The following is a 22805-nucleotide window of genomic DNA, read 5'->3' as shown; positions in this document are numbered from 1 at the left end:
GGATTACAGGTGTGAGCTACCGCACCGGGCTGTGCATGCAGAATTTCAAATGAGCTTTTGTAGCACTCACTTTTAAATATAAGAAGACAGCAAGTAGTCAAAAATCACTAGGGATTTGAAGAAAAGATCCAATATGACTCAGTAAGAGAAAAACAATTTGAAGAAAATAAAAGATTACTCAGGGAGATAGAAACACCAAAAAATTGTCATTAACATCCTCAGAAAAAGAAAAGGAAAGATTGCTTCTATGAAACAAAAACAGCTGCAGCCAAAGAACATTTAGAGAAAAAAAACCTTAAAAATTGAAAGTATGAGAAGAAAAAATTCAAGAGAAATATTAGAAATAAGTTAAAGGAAATGTCCTAGAAAGTAAAGCAGTAAGACCAGAGAGATAGGAAAAGGGGGCAGGGAATGTAAATTAGAAGTCCCACATTCAAATACGAGGAATCACAGAGAGGCAACAGGGGAGGGAGGTCAGATTTATTTAAAGAGATGAAATGTTAGAAATCCGTCATTCAAACAGTAGGAGTCTCAGAGAGATGATGGAAGAGAAAGAGATCAGCTTTTATTTAAAGATCTGTGCCTTTAATTTCTAAGGGAAATTATTCTCTTCCTAGAATTTTTTTTTTTTTTTTTGAGATGGAGTCTCGCTGTGTCGCCCAGGTTGGAGTGCAATGGCGCAATCTCAGCTCACTGCAAGCTCCGCCTCCCAGGTTCACGCCATTCTCCTGCCTCAGCCTCCTGAATAGTTGGGACTACAGGCACCCACCACCATGCCCAGCTAATTTTTTGTATTTTTAGTAGAGACGGCGTTTCACCGTGTTAGCCAGGATGGTCTCGATCTCCTGACCTCGTGACCCACCCGCCTCGGCCTCCCAAAGTGCTGGGATTACAGGCGTGAGCCACCGCACCCTGCCTTCTTCCTAGAATTTTATAATAAGCTATACTATTGTTTAAGTGTGGGGGTAGCTCAAGACATTCTTAGACATGGAAACTCTCTCAAAATTTACCTTTTTTTTTTTTTTTGAGACGTAGTCTCATTCTGTCACCCAGGCTGAAGTGCAGTGGCGCAATTTTGGCTCACGGCATCCTCTGCCTCCCAAGTTCAAGCAATTCTCCTGCATCAGCCTCCCGAGTAGCTGGGTTTACAGGCATGCGCCACCACACCTGGCTAATTTTTTTGTATTTTTAATAGAGACGGGGTTTCACCATGTTGGCCAGGCTGGTTTCGAACTCCTGACCTCAGATGATTCACCCGCCTCGGCCTCCCAAAGTGTTAGGATTACAGGTGTGAGCCACTGTGCCCAGCCCCCAAAATTTACTTTTAATGTTCTTGTTTTCAGTAAGCACCCCCACAATGAGAAAATAAACCAAGAAAGGAAAAGATGTGGGATTAAGGAAGCAAAATTTACCTTTTAGAAAGAGATGATGAAAGATGAAGATAATCTATAAGATAATCAAAGTGATTAATACGTATTAGTATATTAATATGCATGCTTTACATATGCTATCATATATGAATACATATATATCAACTCCCGTAGTCCTCATATAGTATAATGTAGGTGTACTCATTTTATCATCATTTTACAGTTGAGGAAATTGAAGCCAGAACGATTAGGTTACTACACCAAGATTGGACAGGGAGTAAAGAGCAGAGCCACAATTTTTACCCTTAAAGCCCAGTTTCAGGCTCTTAGCCATTAATGTTCCCTTTCTTGTTTCTAATTATACTGATCTAATCAAAATTATGATATCATCATATTTGGATGATAGAAGGGCATGAGAAATATTCAGATGCGTGATGCTAGCAAAGGCGGAGGTGGTGGTGGTAAAAAAAGAGCCTCATTTTCATCTTCTATAATGGCAAGTCAATAGATTGTGTTCCAAACCAAAAATAAAAATCAAGAATAGCAACATATGCATCGTATTTGAAGAACTGTAGGCCTAAAAATATCAGCTAAAAAGTAGGGAGTAGAAAATGTGTGTGTGGTGGGAAGGTGCTATTTTTCTTCACAAGCCTTGCAGGGCTATTTGAATTTTCAATCTGTAAAGATACATAGATTTAATTTTAAAAAAATAAAAATTAAAAAATAAGAGGATCCAGGCGCGGTGGCTCACGCCTGTAATCCCAGCACTTTGGGAGGCCGAGGCAGGAGGATTACCTGAGGTGGGAAGTTTGAGACCAGCCTGACCAACATGGAAAAACCTGTCTCTACTAAAAATACAAAATTAGCCAGGCATGGAGGCACATGCCTGTAATCCCCACCACTCGGGAGGCTGAGGCAGGAGAATCGCTTGAACCTGGGAGGTGGAGGTTGCGGTGAGCCGAGATCGTGCCACTGCACTCCAGCCTGGGCAACAAGAGTGAAACTCCATCTCAAAAAAAAAAGAGGAAAGTGTTTTTCAGTTTGATGTTTGAAGTCTGACAAAGTTGTTCTGCAAATGACATTACTTCCTGACAACTCACCATCCAAAGCTAAAAAATGGGAGTTTGGAGAATTAAGTGACATAATGCATTAGGTGCACAGTTGGCATTCAAATGGCTGTGATTACTAACCAATTATTTGACTCTTTTTTTTTTTTTTTTGAGACGTAGTTTCACTCTGTCCTCCAGGCTGGAGTGCAGTGGCACTATCTTGGCTTACTTCAATCTGCCTCCCAGGTTCAAATGATTCTCCTGCCTCAGCCTCTCAAGTAGCTGGGACTACAAGCACGCATCACCACACCCAGCTAATTTTTGTATTTTTAGTAGAGATGGGGTTTTACCGTGTTGGTCAGGCTGGTCTCCAACTCCTGACCTCAGGTGATCCGCCTGCCTCAGCCTCCCAAAGTGTTGGGATTACAGGCATGAGCCACTGTGCCCAGCCAAATTATTTGACCCTTAATGAACCTTCTTCTTCTTCTTTTTTTTTTTTTTTTTTTGAGATAGAGTTTTGCTCTTTTTGCCCAGGCTGGAGTGCAGTGGTGCAATCTCAGCTCATTGCAACTTCCACCTCCCGGATTCAAGTGCTTCTCCTGCCTCAGCCTCCCAAGTAGCTGAGATTACAGGCGAGTGCCACCACGCCTGGCTAATTTTGTATTTTTAGTAGAGACAGGGGTTTCACCATGTTGGCCAGGCTGGTCTTGAACTCCTGACCTCAAGTGATCTGCCTGCCTTGGCCTCCCAAAGTGCTAGGATTACAGATGTGAACCACCGTACCCGTCCTCTTAATTAACTTTTGTTCTCATTGAATTGGATTTGCATTTATCAACTTTGGTATTTACTGAGTTTGAAGTTACAACTCTTTGGGAGAGAGAGGATAGTATTCAACCTTACCACTTATGGTAATTAGTATTAATATTGGAGGGGAGAGCAGGTCCTAACTACAGTGTAAGAGAAGAGCACACAAGAGAGATACTGTATAGGCAAGTTTGATATACAAAGTGGGATTAAAGAAAAGTCTAGATACTTGTAGCACTGACATCATTTATCAAACAGGAATAGCAAGAACCAAAAGGCAACATAAACAATTTAAGGTTTGGTACTGGGAGGCTGAGAGAGAAGAGGCGTTAACTGAGTCTGCCTTATTTCATAACTTTTGTCCATAAGTAAGATTTTATCATAGAAATTAAAGAGACATTGCCTCTGCGGTAGCTCTGTAGCCATAATGGTCACCCTGTCTCCTGTATTTTACTTCTCTTATTCATCTTTTAGTGACAACCAAAGCATCTTAAAAGTTACATTATCCCCTTTTCCTCTTCAAGAACTTGCGATGGCTTTCATTGACTGCAGGATAAAGTCCAAACTGCTGAAGCTCACATTTAATGCCTTCCATAAAAAGAAGCCAACCAGGCCGGCCGCAGTGGCTCACGCCTGTAATCCCAGCACTTTGGGTGGCTGAGGCGGGTGGATCACAAGGTCGGGAGATCGAGACCATCCTGGCTAACACGGTGAAACCCTGTCTCTACTAAAAATACAAAAAATTAGCCAGGCATGGTGGCAGACGCCTGTAGTCCCAGCTACTCGGGAGGCTGAGGCAGGAGAATGGCGTGAACCTGGGAGATGGAGCTTGCAGTGAGCCAAGATTGGGCCACTGCACTCCAGCCTGGGTGACAGAGCAAGACTCTGTCTTAAGAAAAAAAAAAAGAAGTGAACCTGTCTTCCAGATTAATTCCTATCACATCACTCCTGGAATTGTTACCAGTCTCCATGATTCACATTCTCATTTTTTTCTATCTTTTTTTATAAACAGAAAATGCCATTACACCATGTAATTAATGTTTAAAATTCAATTATCCTTTAGATTTCAACACTGCTTACTTTTTTTTTTTGAGACGGGGTCTCACTCTGTTGCCCAGGCTGGAGTGCAGTAATGTGATCTTGGCTCATTGCAACCTCCGCCTCCCGGGTTCAAGCGATTCTCCTGCCTCAGCCTCCCGAGTAGCTGGGACTACAGGCGCATGCCACCAGGCCTGGCTAATTTTTGTATGTTTAGTAGAGATGGGGTTTCACCATCTTGGCCAAGATGGTCTCGATCTCCTGACCTCGTGATCCGCCCGCCTCGGCCTCCCAAAGTGCTGGGATTACAGGCGTGAGCCACCGGGCCCGGTCCTACACTGCTTACTTTCATAGTACCCTTCCCAGACTCCCAAAGTTGTGAGGCACCCTGGGGTGGGAAATAGCACAATTCTGGGTTAACCAAGGTGGAGATGCCAATGGAAGACACTGGCCACCACTACTCAGTGATAGCATGTCACATATTTTCCACAGTTGAACTCTCCATGTATCTTAGACAATCCATAAATCACTGAAATCATTTTCCCAGTTGGCTTGCTCAACGGCAGATGTCCCACACTGACTTCTTTGTTACCTTCCAGCCAAGCTACTTTACCCAAGGAAAAGAAAACAAAGCATACCTTCCCCAGACTTTGCCATTTTAATCTCCTGCCACTTAAATTTGTTAAACAATTCCTGTTTCTGCTTTATTTCCATACTCTCATATGCAAGTAAACGCTTAACAGATTAACTAATCAGTCCCTCTGATAAAGTTCTTATAGCCGGGCCGGGCACAGTGGCTCACGCCTGTAATCCCAGCACTTTGGGAGGCCGAGGCGGGCGGATTACCTGAGGTGGGAAGTTTGAGACCAGCCTGTCCAACATGGAGAAACCCCGTCTCTACTAAAAATACAAAATTAGCTGGGCATGGTGGTGCATGCCTGTAATCCCAACTACTAGGGAGGCTGAGGCAGGAGAATCGCTTGAACCTGGGAGGCAGAGGTTGTGGTGAGCTGAGATCGTGCCATTGCACTCCAGCCTGGGCAACGAGAGCGAAACTCTATCTCAAAAAATAAATAAATAAATAAATTAAATTAAAAAATTAAAAAATAAATAAAGATCTTATAGCCATACCTACAAGGCCAACTCAATTAGAACTGATGCTGCAGTTCCTGAGCTAGACCTGGAGGGAAAACGGGCTACTGCAAAGCACTCTATACTGTCGTATTTGCCTGTAAACCACCGACAACTAGGTCATCACAGCCACAGAATGTGTCAGACCCAGCCTCCCCACTGAAGGAGAGTTTGCCCTTGTGTAAATTTAGTAGAGGTTCATCTTTCAGTTTTCCCGCACAGATTAGGAGCTTTATGCTGTCAGGGTCACTTCCTACTGCTATGCATGTGTCAACATCTTCTTTCAGAAATTGACAACACACTGGACGCAGCCCTGACTCCAATAGTTTTGGTTTTAGCAAGAGTCGACAAAAAGAGTCAAACTCTGTAAAATACTTGAAAAGATTTATTCTGAGCCAAATATGAGTGACTATGGCCCATGACACAGCCCCCAGGAAGTCCTGAGGACATGTGCCCAAGGTGGTCGGGGTGCAGCTTGGTTTTATACATTTTAGGTAGGCATGAGATGTCAACCAAACACATTTAAGTAATATATTGGTTTGGTCCAGAAAGGTGGGACAACTCAAAGCCGGTGGGGTGTGGCGGGGGGGCTTCCAAATTTAAACATTTTCTGGTTGACAATTTGTTGAGTTTGTCTAAAGACCTGGGATCCATAGAAAGGAAATGTTCATGTTAAAATAAAAGATTGTAGAGACCAAGGTTCTTTTGAAGTCTTATAGTGGCTGTCCTTAGAGACAATAGATGACAATGATTTTCTATTCAGATATTTAAAAGGTGCTAGACTCTTAGTTAATCTCTTTAGGATTGGGAGGGCCTGGAAGAAAAGATCTAGCTATGTTAATAGAGATTATTATTATTATTATTATTATTGAGACAGTTTCGCTCTTTTTGCCCAAGCTGGAGTGCAATGGCACAATCTCGGTACACTGCAACCTCGGCCTCCCAGGTTCAAGCAATTCTCCTGCCTCAGCCTCCCACTATAAGCTGGGATTGATTACAGGTGCATGCCACCACTCTGGGCTAATTTTTATATTTTTAGTAGAGACAGGGGTTTCACCATGTTGGCCAGGCTGGTCTTGAACTCCTGACCTTAGTTGATCTGCCCGCCTCAGCCTCCCAAAGTGCTGGGATTACAAGCATGAGCCACTGCAGCTGGCTGAGATTCTTTACGGATGCAAATTTTCCCCCACAAAGGACAGCTTTGCAGGGCCATTTCAAAATGTGGCAAAGAAACATGTTTTGGGGTAAAATATTTTGACTTTCTTCTTTGTCACATGTTATGCCAGAGTCAGATGGGAAAGTAAGTCATGATATACAGGGTTAAATAAAATCCATCTGATGAGAATTTATGGTTAGTAGGGCATGACTCCCTAGACTCCTTAGATAGGAATTAGGGTAAGATTTAAAAATCAGAGCTTAGTCCTCACAAGCAAAAAATGATAGGAGGGCCGGGCACGGTGGCTCATGCCTGTCATCCCAGCACTTTGGAAGGCTGAGGTGGGTGGATTGCTTGAGGCCAGGAGTTTGAGACCAGCCTGGCCAACATGACAAAACCCATCTCTACTGAAAACACACACACACGCACACACACACACACAATTAGCAGGGCGTGGTGGTGCACGCCTGTAGTCCCAGCTACTCGGGAGGTTGAGGCAGGAGAATCGCTTGAACCCAGTAGGCGGAGGCTGCACTGAGAGGAGATCATGCCACTGCACTTCAGCCTGGGCGACAGAGCGAGACTCTGTCTCAAAATAAAAAAGGCGATAGAGGATGTGGTTTTCTGTCCAGTGTAATCACCCTTGACAGTAAGTTGAAAAGACCGCAGATTGGAGCTGCCCTGCTCGGAGGGTTTGTGCATATTTATGTTATTTGAGCTGAGAAAGAGGGGCCAGTGAATTTCCTCTGCTTAAAATTATAGGAGAGACCTAGAGAACAATTGTGTTAAAAATCATGTTTTTAACCACTGTTACTTTTTTTTTTTTTCAATTGAGCACAGCTTAGAATTCTGTTGGAAAAAAAAAAAAAGAACATCATTTTACCACCACCTCAATGTTCCTTTTCATGCTCATCATCATCATTTTTTTTTTTTTTTTGAGACAGAGTCTTGCTCTGCCACCCAGGCTGGAGTGCAGTGGTATGAGCTTGGCTCACATCAACCCCTATCTCCTGGGTTCAAGTGATTCTCCTGCCTCAGCCTCCCGAGTATCTGGGATTACAGGCGTGTGCCACAATGCCCAGCTAATTTTTGTATATTTAGTAAAGACAGGGTTTCACTATGTTGGCCAGGCTGGTCTCGAACTCCTGACCTCAGGTGATCCACCCGCCTCGGCATCCCAAAGTGCTGGGATAACAGGCGTGAGCCACTGCGCCCTGCAAGCTCCCCATTTTTAACTAGGATTTTATTTTTTATTTTATTATTTTATTATTATTATACTTTAAATTTTAGGGTACACATACACAACATTCAGGTTTGTTACATATGTATACATGTGCCATGTTGGTGTGCTGCACCCATTAACTCGTCATTTAGCATTAGGTATATCTCCTAATGCTATCTCTCCCCCCTCCCCCCACCCCACAACAGTCCCCAGCATGTGATGTTCCCCTTCCTGTGTCCATGTGTTCTCATTGTTCAATTCCCACCTATGAGTGAGAACATGCAGTGTTTGGTTTTTTGTCCTTGCGATAGTTTACTGAGAATGATGGTTTCCAGCTTTACAATATGCTCCTAGTCAGGATTAAGATCTGCCTTCCTCACATTTCAGCTAAGACCTCAAACTTTCATCAGGGTATGTTTCTTAAAAATTGATCACATAATGGAGCTTTCCTGCAAATAAAATGTTAAGTCACACCTCATTGTCTTCAAGTTCAGTTGCCGAATTGCCTGGTGCGAGGCTGAGCAGTGTGCCACTTCAACTTCATGCGCTGCTCTCCCTTTACGGTATACAAGTCATACTAAACTACTATATGCTAAAGGGAAGAAACTGGTAGAAAGTGAAAAATTAAAGGAGTGAGAGGGAAAAAGATCAAGAGGGTGAGGATGGGGAGAGATGATCTCATTCATGTCCATATATATGAATATACATTTTAACTTGATAGCTTCCAAACTTATATCCTCCTGTCTAAACCCCAGAGTCTCAGAGAGGCGTAACCAACAGTTTCCATGCAGTCTCCAGTGAATTATCTTAAAAACATTACAAAGCTAAATGACTAATGTAAAATTTCTTTTTCTTTTTCATGAATTGAGGCTTTCCTCATTCAATTCCAAGGAAAACTTTGACTTATTCCATTAGCAAGTTTGAGCTTTTTTTTTACTGTTTGGTGCAGTAGGACTTAGCTTAGATTAACTTGGTACATATTTCACCAGCGAATGCCTTATTCCTCACTTTTAGAAATCACTGTTTAAATTTTCTCCTGAATCTGGTCTTCCTCCAGTCTTCTCCATACTAATAAATAGCTGTACTTTCCATGCATCAGCTCAGGTAAATGATCTAGAAGTCATTCTTCACTTCCTTTCCTTTCCTTAATACATTTTCCTCTCCAATTCAGCTGCAAGTCCTGATGATCCTATCTCCAATATATCTCTCAAATTCCTACATTTATCTCTCTCTCTCCCTTTATTCCCACCACACCCATCCTATCCACAATCATCTCTTATCCACTATTCTTCAGTACCTCTGAAGACTTTCCCTGATCTTCTGATCTTTGACTTCTGACCTTCTGACTTTCCCACTCCACTCCATTCTCCTGTAGCATTGAGAGTCATTGTCTTAAAATTCAAATTGCATCAAGTGACTTATTTAAAATCCTTCCACAGGCCAGACGCAGTGGCTCATGCCTGTAATCCCAGCAGTTTGGGAGGTTGAGACAGATGAATCACCTGAGGTCAGGAGCTGGAGATCAGTCTGGCCAACATAGTAAAACCCCGTCTCTACTAAAAATACAAAAATTAGCTGGGTGTGGTGGCTCATGCCTGTAGCTCCAGCTACTTGGGAGGCTGAGGCAGGTGAACCACTTGAACCCAGGAGGCGGAGGTTGCATTGAGCCGAGATCGCGCCACTGCACTCCAGCCTGGGCAACAGGAGGGCAACTCTGCAAAAAAAAAAAAAAAAAAAAAATCCTTCCACCGCTTCTCAATACATGTAAAATATAGTCCAGACTTCTGGTCCGCAAGGTCTCTCTCCTTCCTCTTGAACTTTGTTTCCTGTAGCTGTCTCCCTCGCTCCCTGTAATCAGCTACTCTACTCTCTCTCTCTCTTTTTTTTTTCTTTTTGACAGAGTCTTGCTTTGTTGCCCAGGCTGGAGTGCAGTGGCACTATCTCAGCTCACTGCAACCTCTGCCTCCTGGGTTCAAGCAATTCTCCTGGCTCAGCCTCCAGAGTAGCTGGGACTATAGCCGTGTGCCACCACACCCCACTAATTTTTGTATTTTTAGTAGATATGGGGTTTCACCATATTGGCCAGGCTGGTCTTGAATGCCTGACCTCAAATAATCCACCCTCCTTGGCCTCCCAAAGTGCTGGGATTATAGGCGTGAGCCACCGCACCCAGCCTCTACTCTTTTTCTTTTTCTTTTTTTTTTCTTAAGTTTCCCAGATTTACCAAGGCTTTTCTTATCTTTGAAAATGCTTTTCTTTTACTTTGCTTCTCCCAAGTATCCTCTACCCTCTCCTATCTGTTGTCCCCTTTCAGTCTTTGTTTAGCTCTTTGTATTTATAAATCTGCTACTATTTTATCTTGGTTTTTCTTAATATTCCTAAAAATTTAACTCTGTGAAGATATAAACTCTGTGAAGACCCAGAGGCAGAGGCCCTGTTTGTTTTGCATGCTCTACACTATTCTTGGTACAAAATTTCTTTTCTTTCTTTCTTTTTTTTTTGTTTTTGGAGACAAAGTCTTGCTCTGTTGCCCAGGCTGGAGTGCAATGGTGCGATTTCGGCTCACTGCAACCTCCGCCTCCCTGGTTCAAGCGATTCTTCTGCCTCTGTCTCCTGAGTAGCTGGGATTACAGGCACGTGCCACCACGCCCAGCTAATTTTTGTATTTTTAGTAGAGACGGGGTTTCACCATGTTGGTCGGGCTGGTCTCGAACTCCTGACCTTGTGATCCGCCCTCTTCGGCCTCCCAAAGTGCTGGGATTGCAGGCATGAGCCGCCGTGCCCAGTTGGTACGTAATTTCTTAAATCATACTTGCTGAACACACATAAAACCTGTTAAATGATTGTAATGCAAGCACAACTCAAATTATTTATTTATGTATGTATTTATTTATTTATTTATTATTTTTTTTGAGATAGAGTTTTGCTCTTATTGCCCAGGCTAGAGTGCAGTGGCATGATCTCAGCTCACTGCAACCTCCACCTCCCAGGTTCAAGCGATTCTCCTGCCTCAGCCTCCCGAGTAGCTGGGACTACAGGCCCGCACCACCACGCCCGGCTAATTTTTGTATTTTTAGTAGAGACGGGGTTACACCATGTTGGCCAGGATGGTCTGGAATTCCTGACTTCAAGTGATCCACCCACCTCGGCCTCCCAAAGTGCTGGGATTACAGGCGTGAGCCACTGTGCCCAGCCGAGCCAGTGTTTAAAGAGTAGATGTGAAGAAAGTTAAAAAGGATTTTAAAAAATTGAGAACAATAATGATGGTGATGGAGGTGATTAACAGATGTATTAGATTCAGTATAGAAAGAATTGAGGCCAAAGGGGTACAAATAACTAGTGACCAAATGGGGGAGTTACGGGAGTGAGAGACTCCATGTGACTGAGGAGCAGCACATGTGAAGCAGATGAGGAAAAGGCACACTATGGGATGGACACAGGGGACAGGGTAGTAGCATGTCATGGTTGGAAGTGATTCTATATTTCAAATAAGGTGGTAGGGGCTAGGGAGTGGATGTGGGGAAGAGAGATTCCTTTAGGAATAGACATTATGTCTTATCCTTTAGGATAAGACATTATAGGCAAGATTTCCCCCAAGATATTCTAATGCCAATGAACATTTTACCTTTGCCAAGTCTGTGATGTCCTGGTGCCTTAATAGAAGAGCCTAGAATGTCTTTTGGAATGTGTCTTTGATGACTAAATGACTCATTTGGCAGCAGTAAAACAAGGTCCCTTCAGGCGCTATTAGCAATTCATGCATTTCAATAATTCCCAGAGCCAATTTGTTAAATGACTCAGGATAATTTCAGATCCCCAGCAGGTTATACTCAGAACATTTTTCCCTCCGGGCTGAGTGAGCATTCCAAGAATGTAGTTAACAAGGAGCTGCATAATCAGCCAATTCTTGGCTCTGTGTTGCCTCCTTGAGTTCTGGAGTTAATTAATTGCCTAATAAACAATTAGTTTTCTCAAATATTCCTTACCTCTACCCAGAACATATTACGAGGAATCACTTATATCTGTTGCTGTTTACCGCAATCAACAAGTATTTATTGATAAAAACAAAGCCATTTCAGGTGTGACAACAGTAACATAGTTGGCAAAAAGATAAATGGGAACATGGCTCTCAGATAAGTCATAGCAGGCAAGGGAAGGTTAGAAGACAGTAGGAAGAATAACATACATATGCATAACACTTTACAAATCATGCCACATATATTTAGCTTCTTTGATCTTCACAAAAACCTTCTGAGGTGTTATTATTTCCCATTTTTTAGGGAAAAAACGGCTTTAAAGATTTCAGGCCAGGAGCAGGGGGTCAGGCCTCTAATTCCAGCACTTTGGGAGGCCAAGGTGGGCGGATCACCTGACGTCAGGAGTTCTAGACCAGACTGGCCAACATGGTGAAACCCCCTCTCCACTAAAAATACAAAAATTAGCTGGGCACGGTGGCAGGCAGCTGTAATCCCAGCTAGTCGGGAAGCTGAGGCAGAAGAATTGCTTGAATCCGGGAGGTGGAGGTTACAGTGAGCTGAGACCATGCCATTGCATCCCAGCCTGGGCTACAAGAGCAAAACTCCATCTCAAAAAAAAAAAAAAGGATTTCAGTGACTTTTCTAAGGTGAGTAGTTTTTCCCTAAATGTGCGTCACTTCCTCGATTTTCCAATAATAATACTTTGGGAGGTGGTATGTTTTGTGGATAGATTAGCACTGTGCTGCGGCATGGTCCATGGGAAGCATCTCAACCAGGCTTAGTTCAGCATTTAGTTTTTGCTCCAAGAACTCGAGAGATGTGCAGATAGGCTCAAAGGAGAGAGTGTGTTTTCCACCATGGCTCCTCTAGGTGGCAGTGAGGGCCACCACTAGAGACTAGCGTGTGTCACTATAGAGGTGTTGTGGCTTTAAGTGGTCCAGGCAAAACAGGAAAGAAGTAAAGCAACACTATTCCTTTAGAGTTAAAACAGGGTGCAGGTATACATGCATGTGCGCACATATATGTGTTTGCAGTGCGGAGGAACTGAAGAATTAATCCAACTGTGACTGCACAGTATGGAGTTTTTCATACTGCTGAGGGGTAGGACCAGAGAGAAAGAAAGACTGATATTTGGCACTTAAATACTATACTGTGTTCTCTTTGCCCATATCAGCAATGCCATCCCTAGCTTTTAGATATCCGAGTGGGTATGTTGTGCTGTCTAAGATGATCATTGTCATTCGGTGTAAAATCGATTGCTGTCTCAGGAGGAAAGATGCATGCATTCAGTGCATTAATGTCGATGGCTGTGCTGACACTGTTGTCTTTCTTTTCCAGTTAACCGCAGTGGATTCGCTGACAGAGAGAGACACAACTTGCAGTATCATGTGGGTACAGGAATTCTATATGCACTCAATAGTTAAAGGAATTCAAGACACCTTGATGCTTTCCTGGTTTAGTAGTAATCAGTGTGGCTAGAGATTACTTGCAGATTTTGGCCATTGGATACAAAATTAGAGTTCCCAATTAGAGCATTCTGTATCGGAAGATATAAAGGCCTGTGAACGAAGAGTAAGAACCATCTTTCCCATAGAATGATGGTGTTAGATGCCATCTTAAAACTTCTGAGGGTTAGAAAAGTATGTGTTCCATTTTCCCACAGACTCTGGACATCACTCCACTCCTATTTATAAAATGACAGCTCTCATCAGTTCCAAGAGTCAACTATTCGAGTCGACTCCTTCTCTGTTGGAGGCAGCTGCTTTTCTTCAGGTACTGGGGGTAGATCAGGTGCTTTCTGCCCGCACATGGCTACTGTGAAGCGACTCATGTGAAGAGCTTCTTCATACCCTGGGAGGGTGTCCAAAGAGGAGGGCAGCTGGCCCAGGGAGCTGTGGGAGTGAGCCACAGCCAGGATCCTCCGAGCTGCAGGGCCAAACACCGACTGCAGAGCTGTGAAGAAAGAAGGAACAGAGCTAAGAAACTAAGGGAAACAGGACACCCTCAGACAGCAGAGACTTACTTCACACTTAACTGTCGCTTCATTTTTTACAAGTATCCAAACTCATTGTCACTCCTTGCCCCAAATTTTATGAATATCCTTTGAAGCATGTTTACAACCCAGCTTCCTGCTCTGCTAGAAGGACCTGTTTTCTCTGGTAACCTCAAATAATCTAAAGAATGTTTCTGTATCTCTCTCTCTCTCTTTTTTTTTTTTTTTTTTTGAGACGGAGTTTTGCTCTTGTTGCCCAGGCTGGAGTGCAATGGTGGATCTTGGCTCATTGCAACCTCCGCCTCCTGGATTCAAGTGATTCTCCTGCCTCAGCCTCCCAAGTAGCTGGGATTACAGGCGCCCGCCACCATGCCCAGGTAATTTTTGTATTTTTAGTAGAGACAGGGTTTCACTATGTTGGCCAGGCTGGTCTTGAACTCCTGACCTCAGGTGATCCACCCGCCTTGGCCTCCCAAAGTGCTGGGATTACAGGAGTGAACCACCACACCCAGCCAAGAATGTTTCTGCATCCTGCAACTCAACCCTGCCCTTTCCCCTTTCAGACTTAGATCCCTTTCCCCCAGCCCCCGATACTATAGACTCCTTAGGATTATTTATTTTTACCTCATCTCTTTTCTTTTTTTTTTTTTTTTTAGACAGTGTCTCACTCTGTCACCCAGGTTGGAGTGCAGTGGCACAATCTCGGGTCGCTGCAACCTCCACCTCCCAGGTTCAAACAATTCTCTCCTGCCTCGTCCTCCCGAGTAGCTGGGATTACAGGCATGTGCCAACGTGCCTGGCTAATTTTTTTTTTTTTTTTTTTTTTTTTTTTTTTTTTTGAGACGGAGTCTCGCTCTGTCGCCCAGGCTGGAGTGCAGTGGCGCGATCTCGGCTCACTGCAAGCTCCGCCTCCCGGGTTCTCGCCATTCTCCTGCCTCAGCCTCCTGAGTAGCTGGGACTACAGGCGCCCGCCACCACGCCGAGCTAATTTTTGTATTTTCAGTAGAGATGGGGTTTCACTGCGTTAGCCAGGATGGTCTCGATCTCCTGACCTTGTGATCCACCCGCTTCGGCCTCCCAAAGTGCTGGGATTACAGGTGTGAGCCACCGTGCCTGGCCAACAAAAGTGCCTGGCTAATTTTTGTATTTTTAGTAGAGGTGGGGTTTCACCATGTTGGCCAGTCTGGTCTCAATCTCCTGACCTCAAATAATCCACCTGCCTCGGCCTCCCAAAGTTCTGGGATTACAAGCATGAGCCACCATGCCCAGTTATCTTTTTTCTTTTTCTTTTTCTTTTTCTTTTTCTTTTTCTTCTTTTCCTTCCTTCCTTCCTTCCTTCCTTCCTTCCTTCCTTCCTTCCTTCCCTCTCTCTCTTTCTTTCTTTCCTTTTTTATTTTTTGATGGTGTCTCACTCTGTAGCCCAAGCTGGAGTGAAGTGGCGCCATCTCGGCTCACTGAAACCTCCGCCTCCTGGGCTCAAATGATTCTCGTGCCTCAGCCTCCCGAGTAGCTGGGACTACAAGCCCGTGCCACCACGCCCAGCTAAATTTTGTACGTTAATAGGGACGGGGTTTCACCATGTTGCCCAGGGTGGTCTCAAACTCCTGAGCTCAGATGATCTGCCCGCCTTGGACTGAGCCACCGTGCCCAGCCTTGGTTATCCTTTTTTCCTAAGATGACAGTGAGAAAGGGGAGGTAGGAAAGGTGAACAGCAACACATCATATCATTCTATTTTGTTGTTGTTGTTGTTTTGAGACAGGGTCTTTCTCTGTCGCTCACCCAGGCTGGAGTGCAGTGGCACGATCTCGGCTCACTTCAACCTTTGCCTCCCGGGTTCAAGCGAGTGTCACGCCTCAGCTTCCCAAGTAGCTGGGATTGCAGGTGTGTGCCACCATGCCTGGCTAGTTTTTGTATTTTTAGTAGAGACGAGGTTTCACCATGTTGACCAGCTTGGTCTCGAACTCCTGACTTCAAGTAAGCCACCTGCCTCAGCCTCCCAAAGTTCTGGGATTACAGGCATGAGCCACTGCGCCCAGCCATCACTCTCTTTTCAAAATAAATATCCACATTTTGCCAGCTGGTGTTCTGACTGGTACTTGCTCCTCAATTTTAGGAAAGAGCATAGTCCAGGCACAGTGGCTTATGCTTGTAATCTCAGCATTTTGGGAGACAGAGGCAGGTGAATCATGAGGTCAGGAGTTTGAGACCAGCCTGGCCAACATGGTAAATTGTCTCTACCAATAATAAAAATAAACAAATAAATAAATAAAAATTTAAAAAAATATAGCCTGGTGTGGTGGTGGCTGCTTGTAATCCCAGCTACTCAGGAGGCTGAGGCATGAGAATCTCTTCAACCCAGGAGGCGGAGGTTGCAGTGAGCTGAGATTCCCACCACTGCACTCCAGCCTGGGCAACAGAGGGAGACTCCGTGTCAAAAAAAGAAAGTAACCATTTTGGCCAGGCATGGTGGCTCACGCCTGTAATCCCAGCCCTTTGTGAGGCGGAGGCAGGTGGATCACAAGGTCAGGAGTTTGAGACCAGCCTGGCCAAGATGGTGAAACCTCGTGTCTACTAAAAATACAAAAATTAGCCAGGCATGGTGCAGGTGCCTGTAATCTCAGCTACTCTGGAGTCTAAGGGAGAGAACTACTTGAACCCGGAAGGCGGAGGTTGCAGTGAGCCTGAGATTGCACCACTGCACTCCAGTCTGGGCGACAGAACAAGACTCCATCTCAAAAAAAAAAAAAAAAAAAAACCGTCATGGAAAGAATAGAACCACAGAAGAAAAGGGAAAGTGTCTTATAATCATTGAGAAAATGTTAAGGCTAAAATTTAGTGTATCAAGCCTTGAAGAATAAAGAACTGAAAGTACATGTCATTAATTTCTTTAAAAATATAAAATAGTATAGATAATAGAAAAAGTAGATTTCACAAAATCCAAGACGTTTTGAAAAAGGCATCCGTTTGGAGTTCAAAATAGTTTTTAGCAAAGTAACTATTTATAAACTGGCTAATTCTTCCTATTCAATATTTCCAATAGCCTCCAATATTTCACTTCTTTCTTTATCATGAGCCAGACAGACCCTTGAGAACACAGCTTCAGTGACAGCCCAGGTCACTGCACCATCAGGCTTCTGGGAATGGAAATTATTGTGAGTCCTGGAATCTTTAATATTACTCGATCAGTGGTTCTACACCTTTGCACCCTTTTCATTATTCCCTTAAATTGGGTCCTCCTCCCAGGTTAAAAGTTCAGTGTACTCACATGTGATAGTGCTCTGGAGAGTGCTGTCGTGATCGAAAGCAATGACGGTCACTTCACAGGGTGGTGGGCCCCCATCTTCCCCATTTTGCTGGCGGCTCAGACAGCAGCAGCGGAAGCACAGGGACGTCAGGCCACACAGGAGAAGCAGCGCGCCAATTACCACTAGCAACCTGCAAAAGCCCACGGGGCGAGTGGGAGCTCTGGGATCTGGCTTTTTTCCCAGCTCTGCTGTAACCAGTCTTTAATGTCTGTGTTTTGATTCTTGTCTAAACATTTTATAGAATAATTATAAATATTTTAATTTATAATTTTAATTTCAAGGCTTTTGCTTTATAGATACACCTCCTTATTTTGTCAGCTGCAGTAAGTCAATTCATTAGAACAAATAGTAAGACATTTAAGGTAGTTTGGGGGGCTGCTTCTTTTTTCTTTTCTGAGACAGAGTCTTGCTCTGTTGCCCAGGCTGGAGTGAAGTGGCACGATCTCAGCCTCCTGAGTAGCCAGTACTATAGGCACATGCCACCACACTCGACTAATTTTTTTTTTTTTAGACAGAGTTTTGCTCTTGTTGCCCAGGCTGAAGTGCAGTGGCACAATTTCAGCTCACCGCAACCTCTGCCTCCTGGGTTCAATCGATTCTCCTGCCTCAACCACCTGAGTAGCTGGGATTACAGGCATGTGCCACCACGCCCAGCTAATTTTGTATTTTTAGTAGAGACGGAGTTTCTCCAGGTTGGTCAGGCTGGTCTTGAACTCCTGACCTCAGATAATCCACTGTCTCGGCCTCCCAAAGTGCTAGGATTACAGGTGTGAGCCACCGCGCCCAACTTTTTTTGTATTTTTAATAGAGATGGGGGTTTCTTTATTTTGCTCAGGCTGGTCTCGAACTCCTGGCCTCAAAGTGATCTGCCTGCCTCAGCCTCCCAAAGTGTTGGGATTACAGGTGTGAGCCACCACGCCCGGCCAGGCTCTGCTTTTTAATTCACTAAAGTAATCTTCGTTGAGATATTTCTAGAACAGACTCCGAGGGAAGGACACAGTAATGGTTTGATGTTTGCGGAGGAGATGGTATTGAAAAAGGAAATCCTGACATATTGTCACATAGGTAGTGATGAAGTAATGAAATCTTACTCCATGAGATGCTAAGTAAGTAGGCAGGTTGTCATTTTTAATGGCCTTGAGGAATACAGTGTCTTTCTGGGTATTATAAGTGAAACTTACCATATATACCAGAGATGTACCCAGTCTGTGGTCAGGCAACTATAAAGAAAGAATAAAGTTTTCTACATTAAAAATATAGTCAATCCCTGTTATAACTCCAGACTCAGAAATATGAGTTACAATATGATGTGATACCTTGTTATAAATAAAGCACCATGGGTTATGTTTTTAAAATTCACTGTAGCTAGTTGAATCTTTTGCCAAATGATATGCTTTAAATAGTACTTTATACTATAGATGGCATTGTCTGAGTCATTTTGTAAATCATTATAAAACAAACTAGTGATCATTAGAAGTGTCCATAGAAAACATGTCTGTGCCTATTGCAAACATTTATGATAAAAATGACCAAGAAAGGGCCAGGTGCGGTGCCTCATGCCTGTAATCCCAGCACTTTGGGAGGCTAAGGCTGGCAGATCACGAGGTCAGGAGTTGGAGACCAGCCTGGCCAACATAGTGAAACCCCATCTCTACTAAAAATACAAAAATTAGCCGGCCGTGGTGACGCCATCTCAAAAAGAAAAAAAAAATACTAAGAAAGAACTTGGAATGCAAGTTTACAAAGAGTAACTTTGAAAATGGATGTGAAACTTAAGGCTTGTGTATATTTGAGGTCAATAAAATGTAAACATAAAGAAAATTTCAGTTATGAGTATGAAAGTCATACAATCACATTTGTAATTTATCTTTTGCAAGCTGTTGCAACACTCCCACTGAGAATGTAGGAAAAAAAAAACTTAGTTTCTTCCTGCTATACTCTCCCAACCCTCTGACACCAGATGTGGGTGGGTGAGGATTTCCGCACACACCAGGCAAGCAATCTTCCAGCAACAGACAACAGCTGAGCGTCCTCTAATTCAATTCAATGCCAACACCACCTGCTTGGAGATAGGATCCGATCCCATAGGGTGAGGACTCAGTCCCCTAGACGGCTCCCCAGAATTCTGATGCCAATCACAATTTGTTTTGCCTGTGCTTCTGACCTACTGGTTATAAATTGGGGGTTCCCTGACTCCCTCTTGAGGTTGCGTTAATTTGTTAGAGCAGCTCACAGAACTCCGGGAAACACTTACTTACATCTACAGTTTATTACAAAGAATATTACCGAGGATGCGGATGAAGAGATGCGTAGAGCAAAGCATGTGGGAAGGGGCACGGAGCTTGCAGGTCTTCCGAGTGCACCACCCTTCAGAAACCACTGCCTGTTCAGCTTTACAGAAACTCTTCAAATCCATCCTTTGGGATTTTCATGAAAGCCTCATTATGTAGGCGTGATTGATTAAATCATTGGCCATTGATGATCAACTTAAACTTCAGCCCCTCTACTTTCCTTGGATGTTGAGGGGTGAGGCTTTAAGCATTCTGCATTGGTCCTTCCAATGACCAGCCCCATCCTAAATCTACCTAGGGGCTGCCAGCCACCAATCAACTCATTAGCATGCAAAATGATGCTACTTACTTTGGGGATTTTAGAAGTTGTATGCTAGGAGATAGGGACAAAACCAAATATATATTCTCACAATATCACACCCACCGTAAAGAGTACCCTAATTTTTCACATCCAGGATCAAAACTAATTTGCATATCCACTGAGACCAAACAGGAAGAGGGAAAAAAGTAGAAGCCAACTTTACCATGATGAAAGCTAAATAATGTTCTGAGTTCACTATGGCAATTGTAAATTTTCTCTGTAAGAATGAAAAAAAAATAGGGATTGTATGGGAGAAGGAGAAGATAAGTTCAGGAATTGGAGAATGAGGGGAGGCAAAATATTTGTGTATCTTTGAAGAGTAGTAAATTTTGTTATTTAATAATTCTTTCTGATACAGGAATCTACTGAAATCTAGTGAATCTATTTTTATTCTCTGGTCACACATTTATAGAAAATATAGTTTTGTTTTGTTTTTCACTGAACAATGACTCCTCTTGGTTTTCCCACATTTCTTACTTGTTGAAAACTCTTCTAGTTCTAATTAGACTCTGGTTTATAGGAAAGGACTCTTCCTATGGTGGAAGATGTGTAAAACCTCAGAAAGCAGGTGTCAAGTAGTCAACACCCAATTTGCATGTGACAGGTAATCAAGGCTATCACCCTTTCCCTGGGTTTAACAGACCTGGCTATTGGGAAACCCTTCCCATGGCTAAATATGTATTTTTCTTCATCCTAAACACGTTTTTATTCAAAGTGCCACTACTTTTTAAAATTTGTATTTTACAGTTCCTTTAAGTGGAATGATTCTTTTGCATTTTTATCTTCATGTCCTCTGTGTCTACATAAGACTTAAGTGTGACAGGTTTGGATTAGTTGATAACTACATCAAAGTGATAGCTAAATGAAGTCTGCCCAATAAATGTTAACATGCCCTAAAAACTAGAAAATACTTTCCCAATTTAAAGTAATAATGTTACTTTGGAAATCACCCAAATATATATGCCAGTGACTAGATACTAAACCGTCTGTCCTGGTGAGTCACTGAGGAGCAGGGCTAAGGAAGTCTTTTGCAAGTCTCTATGACTGTATAAGTTGAGATTAATCGTGCTGCTTTGATGGGAAGATTGGCTTTGGGTAAAAACATGCTGTCAGCAGTGTTATTTTGAGTGCTTAAGATGACAAAAACACGTCTTTATTTTGTGATAAGTCATCTATGAGATCTATTACTTAAGTAAAAATAAATAAAAAGAAGTCATAGATGTCTAATGACATCTTGACTCTCTTTTGGGGTAGTGATGTTTTGGTCTGTTGCTCCTTCCTCCCAGCTTGAACTCTATACTTACTGTTCAGGATTACCACAGTTTTCCTCACATCTCGTCCCAGAAAGCTGTAGAAAGAGAAATTGTCTTATACAGGGAAATTGTTTTGGCCACTGTGTTCAGCTGCTTACCAATCATCTCTCATGGTTGTGCTGTGTTAGATCAAGCAGTAAGAAGGTCACGGTCATAGGGGCAGTCTATTTAGGACTGCCATTTTCATCTCTCCCATACTTGCTGGCTTTTGTACTTGAGGTAAGGGAACCTTGAAGAACAAATATCTCATCTGTTGTGTTGATGGTGGGTGAGCATCACCCTTTGTGAATGAGAGGTAGCCATTTACATTAATTTGTTTGTAGTAGAAAATTCCTGATCTCTCTGTCCCTTGGGATATTGCCATTGTCCTCCTAATTCCTGCCCAGTTGAATTCTACACCACTGCTCTTTTTTTATCCTGTTAGTGTGACAATGACTATACAAAGGAAGAAGGGGAAAAGCGAGGGGGCCAGTGGGACAGAGAGTCTTATTTATCGAATAGCTACTAGATGCCACTCAGACTGCTAACAAGTTTTTTTTTTTTGTTTTTTTTTTTTTTTTTTTTGAGTCTTGCTCTGTCACCCAGGCTGGAGTGCAGTGGCGTGATCTTGGCTCACTGCAACCTCTACCTCCCGGGTTCAAGCAATTCTCCTGCCTCAGCCTCCCGAGTAGCTGGGACTACAGGCACGTGCCACCACGCCTGGTTAATTTTTGTATTTTTAGTAGACACAGGGTTTCACCATGTTGGCCAGGCTAGTCTCGAACACCTGACCTCAAGTGACCCACCCACCTCCGCCTCCCAAAGTGCTGTTGGGATTACAGGTGTGAGCCACCGCGCCCGGCCATGAACTCTTAATATTTCATAACATTTAATCACAATAACCCTCTTGGTGGGTATATTTAACCTTATCTTGAAAGGTTAAGGGACTAAGGCACAGGGTTTTAAGTAATGTGACCAGGCCAGGCGTGGTGGCTCACGCCTGTAATCCCAGCACTTTGGGAGGCCAAGGTGGGCAGATCATGAGGTCAGGAGTTCGAGACCAGCCTGGCCAACATGGTGAAATCCCGTCTCTACGAAAAATACAAAAATTAGCCCGGCGTGGTGATGTGCGCCTGTAATCCCAGCTACTCTGGAGGTTGAGGCAGGAGAATTGCTTAAACCCGGGCAGTGGAGGTTGCAGTGAGCCGAGATCATGCCACTGCACTCCAGCCTAGGCGAGCAAGACTCCATCTTGGAAAAAAAAAAAAGTGACCAAATGTACACACCTATTGATGCAGACAGAATTCAAATCAAACTCTATCATAGATATGTGTTGGATGAATTAATAGCACTGGGGACAAGTTTGCTCTAACAATTCCTTGACATTGCTATGAAGTCCCTTCTACTCCCTTTACAGAAAACAAAAAAACAAACAAAACTGTCCACTCTTTCTTCTACCTGATTTTTTAGTTGACTTCCTCTTTCAAAAACCCATTCAAGGCTGGGTGCAGTGGCTCACACCTGCAATCCCACCACTTTGGGAGGCCGAGGTGGGTGGATCACTTGAGGTCAGGAGTTCGAGATCAGCCTGACCAACATGGTGAAACCCCATCTCTACTAAAAAAATACAAAATTAGCCAGGCGTGGTGGTGCATGCCTGCAATCCCTGCTACTTGGGAGGCTGAGGCAAGAGAATCGCTTGAACCCAGGAGGCGGAGGTTGCAGTCAGCCAAGATCGTGCCACTGCACTCCAGCCTGGGTAACAAGGGCAAAACTCCGTTTAAAAACAACAACAACAACAACAACAAACCATTT

The 22805-nt window shown here is 43.5% G+C and overlaps 1 protein-coding gene across 7 annotated transcripts in view, besides 2 other annotated features; it reads right to left on the bottom strand.

The window, feature by feature from the left end:
* Positions 7033–7082: a silencer, noted in NCBI's record as "silent region_4236". NCBI's record gives its function as "represses an Ori minimal core promoter by ATAC-STARR-seq in GM12878 lymphoblastoid cells {active_cell/tissue: GM12878}" and the evidence as "EXISTENCE:reporter gene assay evidence [ECO:0000049][PMID:35858748]".
* Positions 7119–7319: a silencer, noted in NCBI's record as "peak1569 fragment used in MPRA reporter construct". NCBI's record gives its function as "represses an SCP1 promoter by STARR-seq MPRAs in K562 erythroleukemia cells {active_cell/tissue: K562}" and the evidence as "EXISTENCE:reporter gene assay evidence [ECO:0000049][PMID:32103011]".
* The window catches only part of TMEM52B (transmembrane protein 52B), a 21292-nt gene continuing 10278 nt past the window's right edge, over positions 11792–22805 (bottom strand). For 4 of the 7 annotated variants that reach the window (NM_001384894.1, NM_001079815.2, NM_001384895.1 and 1 more), the window contains 4 exons: positions 21003–21046; positions 18228–18266; positions 17007–17176; positions 11792–13700 (listed from right to left, as the gene is read on the bottom strand). In NM_001384894.1, coding sequence (NP_001371823.1) covers positions 13456–13700; positions 17007–17176; positions 18228–18266; positions 21003–21046 — 498 coding nt within the window. In that variant the 3' untranslated portion in view covers positions 11792–13455. The remainder of the gene's footprint in view (positions 13701–17006; positions 17177–18227; positions 18267–21002; positions 21047–22805) is intronic. The other 3 variants (NM_001384898.1, NM_153022.4, NM_001384897.1) reach the window with 2 other exon arrangements.

The sequence above is a fragment of the Homo sapiens genome, chromosome 12 (assembly GCF_000001405.40).
Source record: "Homo sapiens chromosome 12, GRCh38.p14 Primary Assembly".
Lineage (NCBI taxonomy): Eukaryota > Metazoa > Chordata > Mammalia > Primates > Hominidae > Homo > Homo sapiens.
The sequence above is the reverse complement of the archived record's forward strand: the minus strand, read 5'-3'. Positions and strand labels throughout refer to the sequence as shown.